This window comes from Homo sapiens, chromosome 7 (genome assembly GCF_000001405.40).
Source record: "Homo sapiens chromosome 7, GRCh38.p14 Primary Assembly".
NCBI classification, from domain to species: Eukaryota; Metazoa; Chordata; class Mammalia; order Primates; family Hominidae; genus Homo; species Homo sapiens.
In genome coordinates, this window is record NC_000007.14 from 103,916,197 (window position 1) to 103,928,732 (window position 12,536).

Here is a 12,536-nt window from a genome sequence, read left to right on the forward strand (position 1 = left end):
GGGACTTGACACTTCATATATCAAAAGGAGGTAGAAAATTTATTTATTTGACAAACATCATAGAAAAAAATAAAATGTTGAACACATAACTTTGTGTCTGATAATGCAATTCTATCCTTCTCACATCTATAGATGAAGTCCTGTGTAATCTTTCAATTTTGGAGTAAGATCAGTAATTTCATATCCTACATAAACTGATATATTAAGTTTGCATTTTTGATGCTGTGAAGGATCTACTTAATCCCAGCCTGGCATGTTTAACAGCATTATGGGTAAACTAGAGATTCCTAAGTTGAGACTCCTCTGAGATTAATGGACATCACGTGGTCTTCTGTTTTAAGGCCTCTGATTTAAGGACAGGTCTCTGATTTAAGGACATTCAAATATTTTAAGTATTAAATAGGATTCTTCTAAGAATACTCATAGAACTCAATAATTTTATCAAATATTGCTATCTTCTGCTTTATACAATGTTCAGTTGCCAGATTTAACACGACACTTTTCATTAACCATAATATTTTAAGAACTGTTTATGAGAACAGATTACTGAATGATTGCGTGGACATCAGAGCAAATTCCAGCCACTTAAGTAACAGAATATGGAAATTTACATGAACCCCAGAGGACCAAGTATAATTGCGGCAGTGGAGGGAGAGAATGAAAGAAAGTTCATCATGCCAAGATCAAGGTTAGCTGCACATTTACATGACTTATTTCAATTCACCCAACATCAAGCAAACACACACAAAAACAAAACACTTCAGATTATTTTCTTGGAAGTAATAAAGGTCTAACACTGTTAAAACAGATACTTTAAAACATAAGACCTATGACTGTATAAAATACCCCCAAATTTCTGGTTTGTGAGAATAGCTTACCAAATCCGAAAGCACTGGAACCTCCAATGCTCTGTGATGCCTGAACACTTGTAGATGTGTATAGTCCTGTCACCAGCAAGCCGTCAAAAAAGGTGCTTGTTGAAATTGTCACTGAAATGTAAGAAAGAAAAAAAAAACTCTCAATACAGTCAGAATAACACAATATATTTCTGAAGTGTTAGACATTGTCAAAACAATCTTTACTCATTAACAAATTATTTTTATACTATACCTAGTTGGTATTTTTTGTATGAGAAATTACAGAGGAGAATAAAGAAGCTCGGAACTCCAGTGTCTACAATTGCTGGTCCTAAATTTAGAACATCAGTCCTACCTTTCTGCATTCATTTACACATTTCTTATGTGAACAATCATCTGAAAATAATGTAATATTGAATAGATGGTTTCCCCACCTCCACTACCACCCCTGAAGGCAGTCAAAGGCATTGCTGGAGTTTTGGCATTATGATAAAATGCTTTTTTTTTTTTTTAAGTCTTTCATACTGTGGGAAACAACTATACATCAGCTGAAAGAAGAACAGTAAGATGAACCACATTTCTTATTGTGAGTCCATATTTCAAAGATGAGTTCCCTGAAGTTTTCCAACAAAAGCCGACTAATTTGCATGAAGACAGCCAGACTTTTTCCTCTCGTGAAGAAGAAAGGAAGATCACTGCATGCTTTAAGTTTGAGAACAAAGTCTGGAAGAGGAGTGGTTTTATAACCATAAAATCAGGACGTTGCTGGGAAGAAAAGGGTAAAATTAAATATATACGTATGCTACTCAGGCTTGGCTTCTTCAAATTTTATCTTGCTCACCACCCTAAAACCTGACCATAATTTCCTGCTTGACGTAACATTTTCTCCTGCATAGGTTTTATAAGATTGAGATGATGCCATTTGTAGGAAGCAACCAAGGGAAGGTAATAATATTATTTAGGTAGTGCACAGTACAAGGCTGTCATCATCCTTGGTGGCAATAAGGAGAATGACCAGAGTCACATTAACTTTAATGAGAATGTTTAAATTAAACTCCAGAAAATCCGGTGAACAGAGCTAAATGGTCTGAAACATCCATATTACAAAGCATAAAACAAGACACATATCAATAGAATAGCCTGACATCATGCTACTCCCATAATGGCATGGGGGATTGGAACAAACCACCTTCTCATCCTTTAACAAGAAATAATAGCTAATATTTTTTAGTGCTGGCACATCAACCACTTAGTTGGGCACTGAGGTAAGTAGTTTACATATATTATCTCATTCAATTGTCAAAACATACCTATAAGAGGGATACTATTATTATTTCCAGCATACAAAAGAAGAATGTGTAGAACAGAGCCATTAAGAACCTGGCCCAGGACCATCTGATATCATCTAAAATGTTTTGATGCTGTCTACATGGGTTATTTCCTGTTTCTTCTTTGCTCCCCTCAGATCCCAAAGTGGCAAAGTAACCATGGCCAAACTCCATCAAGGCAGGCATCTCAAGTATTTCGTTCACTGATATATCTCGAGTGTCTAGAATAATTTATGGTACTCTTAGGTGCTCAATATTTAGTGAATTATTAATGAATAACTTATTCATATAAAAGTAGTGCAAGGTTGTTTTATCTTTAGCTTGTTTCCAGAGGAAAAGTATGTTATGAATCCTAGACTTTATACATCAGATGAGCCCCACTTGGAAAAGCCACATGGAAAAAAAGAAGACAGAGAAAAGTTGGCTATTTAAATATGTAAAATGCTTTCCAGAGTGCAAGACAGATCAATGCAGAGAGAAACTGACTAAAAGACCAGCCAAAGACATTTTTTAAAAGGCGTAAGTATGCATAAATTTTATCAGATGCTGTATGCTTACACGAATCATCTAAAGAAAAAAATACTTGTTTGAAATGAATTGATTATAATCTGCTTGCTAGAGTTCAGAATTTTTTAGGAAAAAATGATATTTGCCTTTGGAAAAACGCTACTCTTTTGACAGTGGAATAAGCATTCCTTTTCCTCGTTTAAGCAGATGTGATGCATAATCCATATGTGAACTGATAATCGGTCTTTTTTTTTTTTTTTTTTTTTTTAGAAAGAGGAGGAAATGTTGCCCAGACTCTCATGGGATTTAAGGCATATCTTTCTGGTTACCAGGCTTCCACTTCTTCAAGAAGATAATGGGTCCAATCTCTGTGTGTAAAAACCACTGGACACAGTGTGAATTCTCTTAACATGCAGACCATTTCAGAATGTCTGCAGCCCACATGTTTTCACTGACTGGAACACTGGTGGTGAACCCATGAGCAGTATAAAGGAGCATACTGAAAACTTCACACCAAGGAACTTCGACTTTGAATCTATGTCAGGAACACCCTTCTCTCCATCCCCTTTCTTTCTCTTTCACAGAAAGGCTTCCACTTATCTCTACTTGCAGCCCTCGGTTAATCTGCCCAAGTTTCCTGTGACATCGGCCCCTGCAGTTTTTGGTTTTCACATGGGGCCCTCTCCCCCAACCTAAAAGGGAGAACCCTTTAGTGTCTGCCTCATTCCTTTCTACCAAGCTATGTGACTCCACACGCGCACCAGCTCTAATCTTTCCTCTGTGCCCTGACGACTTTCTTTCCTCTAATTTCACTTGACTCACTTTTCAAGCACTATTTTAGCCTCTCTAGTCTTAACTCATCGCTTACATCCACAACCTGGTGCCATCCAGGCAATTGGAATGGTTCTTGAAAGCGGAAAAGTGATTTATGACAAGTTAAAGGGAAAATTTACCATACACAGAAATAATATGGGACATGATTTTAAAAACTGAGGTTCACACTTGTGAATGTAAAATTATTTAAATATGTATATGAACTAGAAGGAAACTTATAACTTTCAGGTCACCAATTTGGCCCATTGATGAAGCTGTTTAAAGACAGAGATAAAACTGCTGTCTACTATTTAAAATAAACAAGCTCTCCATGAATCATAGGATTATCCATGTGTGTAGATCTAGATATACTCATTTGAAGAATGTGAAATACACTAATTCCCACTACAGACATTTTTGCAGTTTTCTGATACTCTGATTCAGAATGTTATGGTTCCAAGCTGCATAGTTTAAAACGTTCCATAGTGATTGTCACTTTAAAATGTTTCCTTTAAAAATATTTATTTATAAAGTAGACTTGCATAAGTAGAAGTTGTAGGTAAAAGACATAAATTTGGGTATATTAGGATGGGGATAATTGGACAAATTTTTTATATTCGAACTACTTTTAAGAAAAGTAACTATTGGGCTATATGTGTCTAACTGATATCTAACTCAGACCTGTTAATAAGCAAATCCTTCATGCCCTTTCCAAGATTATCAGTCAAATGATCTAATTAATGTTAAAATGGGTAACAAATAATATTTTCCATGTCAATTCACTTTCAAATTAGCATATTATGTACTATGAACAATTGCCAAGTCTAAGTAGTGGGTATACACATGTTTGTTGTACCAGTCTTTGGTTTTTTTTTTTGTTTTTTTTTTTTTTGAGAGAGTCTCGCTCTCTTACCCAGGCTGGAGTGCAGTGGCACAATCTCAGCTCACTGCAGCCTCCACCTCCTGGGTTCAAGTCATTCTCGTGCCTCAGCCTCCTGGGTATCTGTGACTATAGGGGTGTGCCACCATGTGTGGCTAATGAATGTATTTTTAGTAGAGACAGGGTTTCACCATGTTGACCAGGCTGGTCTTGAACTCCTGGCCTCAAGTGATCCACCTGCCTCAGCCTCCCAAAATGCTGGGATTACAGGCATGAGCCACCATACCCACCTGTTGTACTAGTCTTTTAACTTTCATTTTAGAAAACATTTATATTAAAAAGTTGGTGAGGAGAAGAAGAAATCTGTGGTAAATGCACTTCCAGTGAGTAAACTAAGCCAAATAGTAAAATGTACTAGAAGGTACGTAATGCATTCAGACTTAAAGAATGAAGCAAGGTGTATGATTGATTGAGACAGAAAACTAAGCAACTTCTATGAGCTAAGACTTGTGTAAGCACTGTAATTTGGGTTTTATTAACTAGACGGGCAGAGATATTTAGAAATAGTTCTCCCTTGACAAAAATGTTTATAAACTCCATCTGACATCCTGTCAATTCTAGCTATTTTATACAAATTAAAATAGATCACCACTATGGGATAACACCCACAAGTTATCCATATCAGACACCAAAGGTTTACATAAAATCATTAAATAATAATCTAGTGAGCTTAAATAGGTAAACTCCTATTTAAACAATCCATTCTCCCATATATTCAGTCTTTATTCATGGCTTTACAAATTTTTATGGTCAAATTTGTAAAATTCTTTCCCAAGGGACTTCTTCCCTCTTGGAGTCAATTTTTATATCTTTCATAGTTTTGCATTAAAATGTCAAGAGAACTGGCTACTTTATTACAGAGGAAAATATCAATATTATCGATTTCATACAGAATTCTGAACTTGCCAGTCCATTTTAAGGGGGAAATAAAGCATGTATATTATTATCTATAATTAGAAAGCAAATGCATCTTAGATCACATAATTCCCTTGTTCAATCAACATCTCTAGCTTCCTAATGTCCATAGATTAAAACCCTAAATCTTCAATGTGGTTTCAAAGACCTTTGGGTTGTGGCCATAACTAGTCCCTCCAGTCAAATTTCTCCATTTCAGCTGAAAACATCTGATTAAAGGATGTTAACTGGATTAAACAGTTAAACCAGAACACGTTCTATACTTCTCTGCCTCCTGGCCTCTGCTCTTACCTAGAATGACCCCTTGCCAGGTTACCTTTTGTTAAGGTATTCAGGTGCAGGTTCAAATGTCATCTCTCTCATGCAGTCTGTTCTGACCTCCTGGGGAAATTCACCTCTCCCTCCTCAGTGACCCCAGAGCTCATTCACAGACTACTTTCCCCAGAGTTTGGCTCAAGGGAGAAGCTCAACTTTTGTTGAATTCAACCACATAGAAACATTTATTACAACATAACATATAAGAATAAAATAAGATAAAATTGAGAGTGTAATGTAGCCAGTGTAACCAAAATTGTAAAATCTAACTTCTACAGAAAAAACTGGGCCATTGTTATTCTTAGAGATACATGAAAAATAAGTTTCCTCTGAAAAGTAAACAAAAAAATAAAAAATAATGCAGTATTCAATTATAGTACTCAAAAACCAGGTAGGTCTAAGAAAATTTTAGTTGGATTTTACATTTAACCATAATAGCTTTTCTTTTATATATCTGTATTTTGTATGTGAATATATATATACATATAAATGTATATACCAAATTAATCTTCTGATAATTTTTGTCACTAAGACTTTACACCATTATCCTCACTCTTAAGTTACACTGCCATTTCCTCAAATAAAATATAAGGGATCAAAAGGCTGAGCAGGTTACAAATATCTCTTCCACATCTGTGTTAAATTGGCAATGAGCTTAGCACCAGGAGACTATAAATATGGATTGCTGGGGTGTGACTGCGGAATGAAAACATGATGTAGTGACACAATTCAATTCTTATCAGTGGCTCAAAGAGTACCTCTGTCTTGAAATGACTAATTACAGAGTCAGTTATTATCTATTATAGCTTCTATTAAACATTCCCCACGAGACCCTAATACCATTCTTGCAGAAAATCACTGTAAGATGAAAGTCTAAAAGAAAATAAATTTAGACATTTAATGATGTTTGCATTTCATTCTAAAGCTTCTGGTCTACAAATGCTCTATGGTCCATTAAATTTTGATCATTTCCAGCATATTCCATTACTACTTTATACAAAAGACCTTTAATATGTGCAGAAAAGAAATTAAGTAATACTCGAAATGATGTTCCCATTTTTTTTTCAGAACGGCAAGCATCAGAGGATAGCAAATTGCAAAAAAATTGAAATTAGGTACATAAGCATTAGTGATGATGCACCAATTGCAAAGTTTCCATTTCTTGATTTTGTATATTCTGAAGATGAAAAACGCCAGCAGAATCTAATATTGTCAATATTTAAGAAAACATCATTGCATTTTGCCTTATGAAGAGAAATTCGTTTGCTTTTTGAATACAGAACAAATTAAACAGCCTAAGGAACAAATATCTTTCTCTGAAGAAGAAATAAACTGAGCATATTTGCTGCAAAATTTCATCAACACTGTATGTTCAACTACTGATTCTTCCTTAAAGTGCCACTAGCTCTGGGCACCAAATAGAGACCATAAAAAAATACATTATAATTTCCATTCCAAACCTCTAGAAGAACATGACCCTCGCACTACTTCTCATTACATATATTAATTCCATTTTGACATGGTTTTGTGTGGATTTCAAAAATTAAGTCAGGTATTTCAATAATAGCATTCCCAAACCAACAACAGCAAAGAAAAAAAAATCATCCCAATAAATGTAAAAGAAATGACTGGAAGTCAAGATTCACTGAGTGAGGACATGAATCCATAGAAATGAAAAGAGATCTTAAATAATTAGATCAGGATAATAAATTCAGTTTATTCCAGGAACAAATGGACTCCAATCAGCCTTTTGTGAGGGGTAGAGAGAGATCGTTCCTACCTTACCTATCTATTCCAACAACAAATGATAAGGGGCACGATGAGGAAGTAGCTGGCTGCCCACCTAGTATAGTCTCCTGTCCATCTCCAGAGGAGCATTGCTAAATGTACCATAGCCACCCTTTCCTACTTCCAAAAGGCTTTAGATGGCTGACCTAGATCATCTCTAAGAGCTCTTTACCCTCAGATTTAATACACACTTCCTTAATAATAATAATAGCTAAACAATATTTGAGCACTACATGCCAGGTATTGTTCTAAATCTTTTATAGGTATTAATCTTTTCAATATCCTATGTGATAATTACTATAATTATACCCCTTTTACCCATTAAAGCTGAAACAAAGAGGGGAGGGCTAAGTTATGTGCCTTAACTAGCATGTGAAAGGTAGCTCTAGGACATGGAGGTCATGTTCCCCAACCTGAACGGACTGCAGTAAGTAGAGCAGCCTCTATCTCGTGCTATGCCCAAGAGGGTGGCAGGTGCTTGATCTTTTCCTGGAAGGCAGTGCTTCCATGCCCTGGGTACATGGGTATAGTCTCCTGGAGTATCCCCAGCAGGCTGCTCTGTAGAATGTACTTAACCTTGATGTCTGCTGTACTAATTATTATTACAGCCATTTATTATCATTATTATTACTCTTCTTTTTCATTTTATATGGATCTGTGCTGTTCTTTGAGGGGGAGAAAGGAAGGAGAAGGAGTGGCCTCCAGGGAGGACTAAACGCAGTGTGATAAAGGACTAAGCTTAAGATCAAAATAATAAGGTCAAAGAGCCCTGGATCAGCCCACCTCTGAAAGCAAGCGGAGAATGCCGTGCAAATGCTTTGCAGCTTTGTCTCCACCTGCAAGGAGAGGAAAAACTGAGCAAGATCCAGGAATTCTAGCAGGTGCAGGACACCCATCATATGCAAAACTTAATGACCGATGAAAACACCTTCCAGGGTCTGGAAAATGTTCTTTGCTGGCTAGAGGAGGGGTACAGCATCTCTGTGGAACGCTATTATGATATACTTATTACTGATTCAGAGATTCAGATGAACCACACGTAGCCTCTAAGTCTTATTTTCTGGCACCACCAGTAATAAAAGGAAATCCACTGAAATTTTTTTTGCTTCCTTTAAGTTCTTGGGAGATAAAACAGGTGCAGTCAAATGTGTTTGTGAATTTATTATTTTAAAATTAAGCCCTTTGGAAGTAAGTTTAGATGAGAGCACTTGGTGAATATAAATCTCTCCTACTCAATCCCTCTACATTGCCTTTCCTCTTCTTTATGTTCCAAACCCCAACCCACCCTACAAGCACTCTCTCTCTGACACACGTGTGCATGCGCATACACATACACACACACACACACACACACACACACACACACACACACACACACACGCTCACTCAGAATTTCTAAAAATATTAACCTTGAGGTAAAAATCTCACATCTTATTCAGGTGATCCCTTCCCTAGACTTGGAGACATAGGTCAGAATAAACTACCTGGAATGAGGTCCTGAACAATATTTTTGAAATCTCCGAAGACTGTCCAATCTAGCCTAAATAAAAATTCCTAAATAGTAATAGTAATGATAAAGAATTAAAATATAATTTTACAATTCTCTACCCATTTTTAGCCCCAACTGCACTTAAAGCAGGAATAATTTCATTTTATCATCCACTTTTGGCCTTTATAATTTAATTCTGAATTTTTAAAAAATTCTACAAATAATGATAATTAGTTTCTATTATATAACCCAAAATTTTTTTCTTTATAAATGACACTTTATTATAATTCAGAGAACCACAGACAAGAGTAACTGGTATTTGTGATTTATCTCTGACCTTATTTTTCACGTTACTTTTATATGAGGCTGGATAATACTCATCCATGAAAATTTCATATTGTTGGCCCTGCACTCAATAAATTATTAAAGTGATGTGAATAGGAATGTGGTGTTCAGGTTTTCAGCAATTTTCATCCTTTTGTTCTTGCTTTTTTAAAGGAAAGACTATCTTGTCTAAAACTCAACATATCTTTGTAAAATTTAAGCAAAGATTAGCCTTAAAAGAAATCATTTTGGGAGATTTATTACTCTGAATTGCTGCAAGAAGTTTTAACAATGTTTTTCTTTTGAGGCATGGATAATTTTCTAGGTTGAGAAGAATAAGCCTAGTAATTCTTATAAGCACATACACAGGTGAATACATTACAATAAAATACACGGATGCCTAGAGAACAAATATATGTGTGATTTTTCTCCCCCAAAATCATCAGGTGTGTAAAGCTTTTATACAATAAAAAAGGCTTCTAACTTTTCTGTTTCTATTATGTTTTTTTTACGTTGTTTTGACCAAAGCTAACTAAAGAAAATTTGAACTCACGTAACAAATAACAAAGTAACTCCTAATAGTGCCCCAAGTAGTTTAAAACATAAATATATGACCCCCACCCCGCCTTTTTTTTTTTTTTTTTTTTGAGATGGAGTCTCACTCTGTCTCCAGGCTGGAGTGCAGTGGCACAATCTTGGCTCACTGCAACCTCTGCCTCCTCAGTTCAAGCGATTGTTCTGCCTCAGCCTCCCAAGTAGCTGGGACTACGGGTACGTGCCATCAGGCCAATTTTTGTATTTTTAGTAGAGATGGGGTTTCACCATGTTGGCCAGGATGGTCTCGATCTCTTGACCTTGTGATCCACCCACCTCAGCCTCCCAAAGTGCTACGATTACAGGCGTGAGCCACTGCACCTGGCCAGCTTTTGATTGTAGTTCAACATATTGAAAATATGCCATTACGAAATTCTTAAATATGTTCATATTTGCAACAACTTTATGCTTGTGCAAGAACATGCCAAGAGTGACCTTGATAATACTCGTGCGTATGTCATACATCTGTTGTTTGTAAAATGTATAGATCAACATTAATAATAATTGATAGAATTCCTAATACACATAGTTAAACCGAACGCAGCTCTAAAGTATCATAAGTTTTTTTTTTTTTTTTTTTTTTTTTTTTTTTTTTTGAGACGGAGTCTCCCTCTGTCGCCCAGGCTAGAGGGCAGTGGCCTGATCTCAGCTCACTGCAAGCTCTGCCTCCCGGGTTCACGCCATTTTCCTGCCTCAGCCTCCCGAGTAGCTCGGATTACAGGCATGAGCCACCACATCCAGCTAATTTTTTTTGTATTTTTAGTAGAGATGGGTTTTCACTGTGTTAGCCAGGACGGTTTCAATCTCCTGACCTCGTGATCCACCCCCTTGGCCTCCCAAAGTGCTGGGATTACAGGCGTGAGCCACCGTGCCCAGCCTAAGCTTTTTAAACAAGTTTTTCTACAGTATTCTCTTTTAGTACTTCCATATGTTCATTTCAATATACTAAAACTAATCATAAGCAACTGTCCTAAAATAAAAAATTCATTTAAATATATGCTGAGTATATTATATATGGCATACAAATGATTAACTATAAAATTCTATTACTAATTTATATAAGACAAATTTTAAAACTCACTTATTTTATGATCAGACCCTGTGGGTGTGAGACTATGTGTGTATTGTTCCGCTTATTCATTTATTAAGCAAATATTTATAAAGTGCCACTCGATACTGAGAACATAATGATGAACCATCTGTATGTTTATAAAAATAACATTTGAATTGTTCCTGTCCCTTTTAGAAGACTCTCTATTCCACATTTCAAAATCCAATTCATAAAATCTAAAATTGTTATTGCTGACATCGAAATTCACAAAATAAATGTTAAATTCACAAAATAATGTCAAATAAATGACGTTCAGGTACTAGCACAGATAGTTGCTCTAATATGCTACAACTGAATTCTAAGATTTTCAGATTAAAATAATTACCAAATAAGGATATAACATAAATGACATTTACACTGACAGATGGCATCTGATATTTGGGAAAGTATAAAAGATGAAATAAATGCACAACTAATTTGTGTAACATTAAATTGTAATTATAAATAATATTTCTCCTATGGGTAAAATGGAAAATGCTGTACTTTTTATTTTACAGCATGGCACTTAGTACAATGAGTCTTAAAATTTCTTAAAATAACAGAATATCTTTGTGGTTAAGTATAAGTTTGTGTTTTCAATATAGCTATAAGACAATTTTTCCAAGGATAAGGATGAAGAAAAACTCCAGGCGTGAATAATTACCAGGAGATGTCTTGAGGCCTAGGAGTTTAGGAAAAAGTTAAGTGATTAGTTATCTAAAGAGTGTTTAATGAAGGGACTTTGCAAAGGACTAAGTATGCTCTGCTGGCTTTAGTATTCCTCATTTTCTGGTATACAATTTCTAAGTAAATCTTAATCTACCCTTAGCACATATTTGGTTTTGATTTGTTGATTTTTTTTATTTTAGAAAACTGATCTAAATTCTTAAGTTGGTGACATGGCATAGAAAACCAGAGCTGGATGAAAGGCAAACTAAAATATAGATTTTTATAAACATATATCTTGCTCACAATTATCTGTACACAGAAATGCTTAAGATATAAGTTCTAAACAATTTCCAGTATCAATTAAAATACCTATTCAACACAGATGGACTCAAATTCTGTATGCTGGACTCAAATTCTGTAAGTGCCAATTTGATCAATACAATTATTACTTTTTAGTCAAATAATGAATATTTGTTAGAACTATTAGCCAACTAAATTCTCCCAAAGATCATTTTACTTTTATAACCAAAACTTTCAATCACCTGAGAAGCTTTTTAAAATTCAGACTCCCAGTTCCCAAATGGATTCTGTTTCTGTATTATTGGGATAAAGCCCAGGAATCAGCATATTTAACAATGTCCATCTAGGTGGATTCTGTGTGAGTGGTCCTGGGATAGACCAACTACAGTGATAGAAAAAGCTGCAAATCCACAGCTCTTAGGAAACAGAATTTCCAACGAAGGCTATCCATGGATGAAAAATTATAATTGAATTGAATTGAGGCTACATTAAGAATTCCACTACAGTAAGAAGCCACTTTGCCTTTTATTATACTGCAGTTTCCTCCTAGTGTAAATGTTGTTTAACAAGATGAGGATGTAATGGAACACCTGTTCTTAGGAGACTT

General features: G+C 35.4%; 1 protein-coding gene across 2 annotated transcripts in view; it reads right to left on the reverse strand.

The window, feature by feature from the left end:
- RELN (reelin) overlaps positions 1–12,536 on the reverse strand; it is a 517,870-nt gene that overhangs the window by 444,408 nt on the left and 60,926 nt on the right. For both annotated transcript variants that reach the window (NM_173054.3, NM_005045.4), the window contains exon 2: positions 879–989. In NM_173054.3, coding sequence (NP_774959.1) covers positions 879–989 — 111 coding nt within the window. The remainder of the gene's footprint in view (positions 1–878; positions 990–12,536) is intronic.